The sequence below is a fragment of the Homo sapiens genome, chromosome 8 (genome assembly GCF_000001405.40).
Source record: "Homo sapiens chromosome 8, GRCh38.p14 Primary Assembly".
NCBI lineage: Eukaryota > Metazoa > Chordata > Mammalia > Primates > Hominidae > Homo > Homo sapiens.
In genome coordinates this window covers 58321617-58323962 of record NC_000008.11, presented here as the reverse complement: position 1 = coordinate 58323962, position 2346 = coordinate 58321617, and the positions used below count along the sequence as shown (strand labels likewise).

General features: G+C 36.9%; 1 annotated feature.

Annotated features, from left to right (window-relative positions):
* Positions 1917 to 2066: an enhancer, noted in NCBI's record as "active region_27407". NCBI's record gives its function as "activates an Ori minimal core promoter by ATAC-STARR-seq in GM12878 lymphoblastoid cells {active_cell/tissue: GM12878}" and the evidence as "EXISTENCE:reporter gene assay evidence [ECO:0000049][PMID:35858748]".

Genomic DNA, 2346 nt, shown 5'->3' with positions numbered 1-2346 from the left:
TGGTGTTTTGCTTGGGCTCCACCTCCATGTGCTGCAGAAGGAATATGCCTGCAGGCAGAAAATTGAGGTTGTTATGCAGTTTATTTTGTATGTTTTGCTTCTCTCAAGGATCATAGTTCTGTGATACCTATTTTTCAATGCCTGAAAAAAATTGCTTTAAATATTTTGTCCAGTTTTATTGTTGATTTTGGTGGGAGGGTGTATCTCCCAGTTACTCTATCGAGGATGGAAGTGGAAGTTACATATTTAACTTTAACATTCTGATTCCAGATTATATACAGTAAGCTTTAAATTGCAACATGATTTATCCTGACACCTTTTTATTTGGGCTGCCTCCCATTCATTGTGAGTGTGCTCAGAATAAAAGAGTAAAAAAAAATCTTTTTTTTTTAAAAATTTTTTTATTTTTTTATTTTTTTCACTTTTTTAAAATTACACTTTAAGTTTTAGGGTACATGTGCACAATGTGCAGGTTAGTTACATATGTATACATGTGCCATGCTGGTGTGCTGCACCCACTAACTCGTCATCTAGCATTAGGTATATCTCCCAATGCTATCCCTCCCCCCTCCCCCACCCCCCAACAGTCCCCAGACTGTGATGTTCCCCTTCCTGTGTCCATGTGTTCTCATTGTTCAATTCCCACCTATGAGTGAGAATATGCGGTGTTTGGTTTTTTGTTCTTGCGATAGTTTACTGAGAATGATGATTTCCAATTTCATCCATGTCCCTACAAGGGACATGAACTCATCATTTTTTATGGCTGCATAGTATTCCATGGTGTATATGTGCCACATTTTCTTAATCCAGTCTATCATTGTTGGACATTTGGCTTGGTTCCAAGTCTTTGCTATTGTGAATAATGCCGCAATAAACATACGTGTGCATGTGTCTTTATAGCAGCATGATTTATAGTCCTTTGGGTATATACCCAGTAATGGGATGGCTGGGTCAAATGGTATTTCTAGTTCTAGATCCCTGAGGAATCGCCACACTGACTTCCACAATGGTTGAACTAGTTTACAGTCCCACCAACAGTGTAAAAGTGTTCCTATTTCTCCACATCCTCTCCAGCACCTGTTGTTTCCTGACTTTTTAATGATTGCCATTCTAACTGGTGTGAGATGATATCTCATTGTGGTTTTGATTTGCATTTCTCTGATGGCCAGTGATGGTGAGCATAAAACAAAACTTAAATACAGTATTTTTCCAAGAAAAAAACAGTTGACAAGATAAATCTATAAAACATTATAAATATCAAAGTAATAACTTTTGTTCTGTTTTATTTCTTGGCTCCTATATATGATTAATAATTAACTTTTATACTAAATATAATTTCCTGTATCAAGCCATTATGAAATGACAGTCTTTTTCTTCCTTCCTTCCAGGTTTGATAATAGAACTTCAGTCAGAGGCAGCTTTAAACATCTACTCACATAAGTATTCAATTAAATGGATGCTGTGACACAAGTTACATGGTACTATAAGACAACTAGATTTTATGTAGGTCAGAATTGATAAGAATCTTGGATTACCAAATCAATATCTGTTGTAGATTTTACCTTCTAGGATCAGTAATGGAATACATTGGCTTCCCAGAGTTTCCAATGAAGGTTGTAACCAGCTGTTCTGGTTAATTATGTCCTTTTTATGTCTAAGAGAGATAGGATGCTAAAGCTTTAACCTCAAATTAATTTTTGCACCTTTCCAATCACACCAGGACAAAAGGTTGAATTTTATGCAAATTTAGTGCATCGGTATACTAGATCAAACATATTTTCATATCGTTTGAAATGCAGATTTGCCGGACTTTTACTTTACAGCTCTCTTTTTATATGAGGCTTTTAACTGCACACTCTCCTTGGTTCATTTCTCATATGTGCTTTTGGGTCAATTACAACCCTGCCTCACTGCTTGCCTTGTTCTCTGGCAGCAAGATAAACACTGAACAGAGCCTTTTATCTTTGCAGGGCCTCTCCAGATACAGCACTAGAATGACTTTTCTCTCTTCAATGTATTATTTATGGGATTTTAAGTTATTCTTTCTTCGGTGTGAAACCAAAACTTTCTTGTGCACTGCAGCAGATGCGGCAGTAAGTACACATGATTACCCATCTTCCTGTGATTTAGTCTGTGGTACTTCCTTTGGCTAACCACTTTCAGCTGTTATTTTCTGCAGCTAGCATGATGAACTTGGGTTTACAGAACCTTGAGACTGAGGAAAATTTTAAACTCAGGCATATTGAAGGGTGACAACTTTTTTGGACAGAGGCTGTTTATGGTAACAACAATTACAGATCTATTTCCACTTGCATACGATTGCTCATGCTGCCTTCTGCTTTCTGG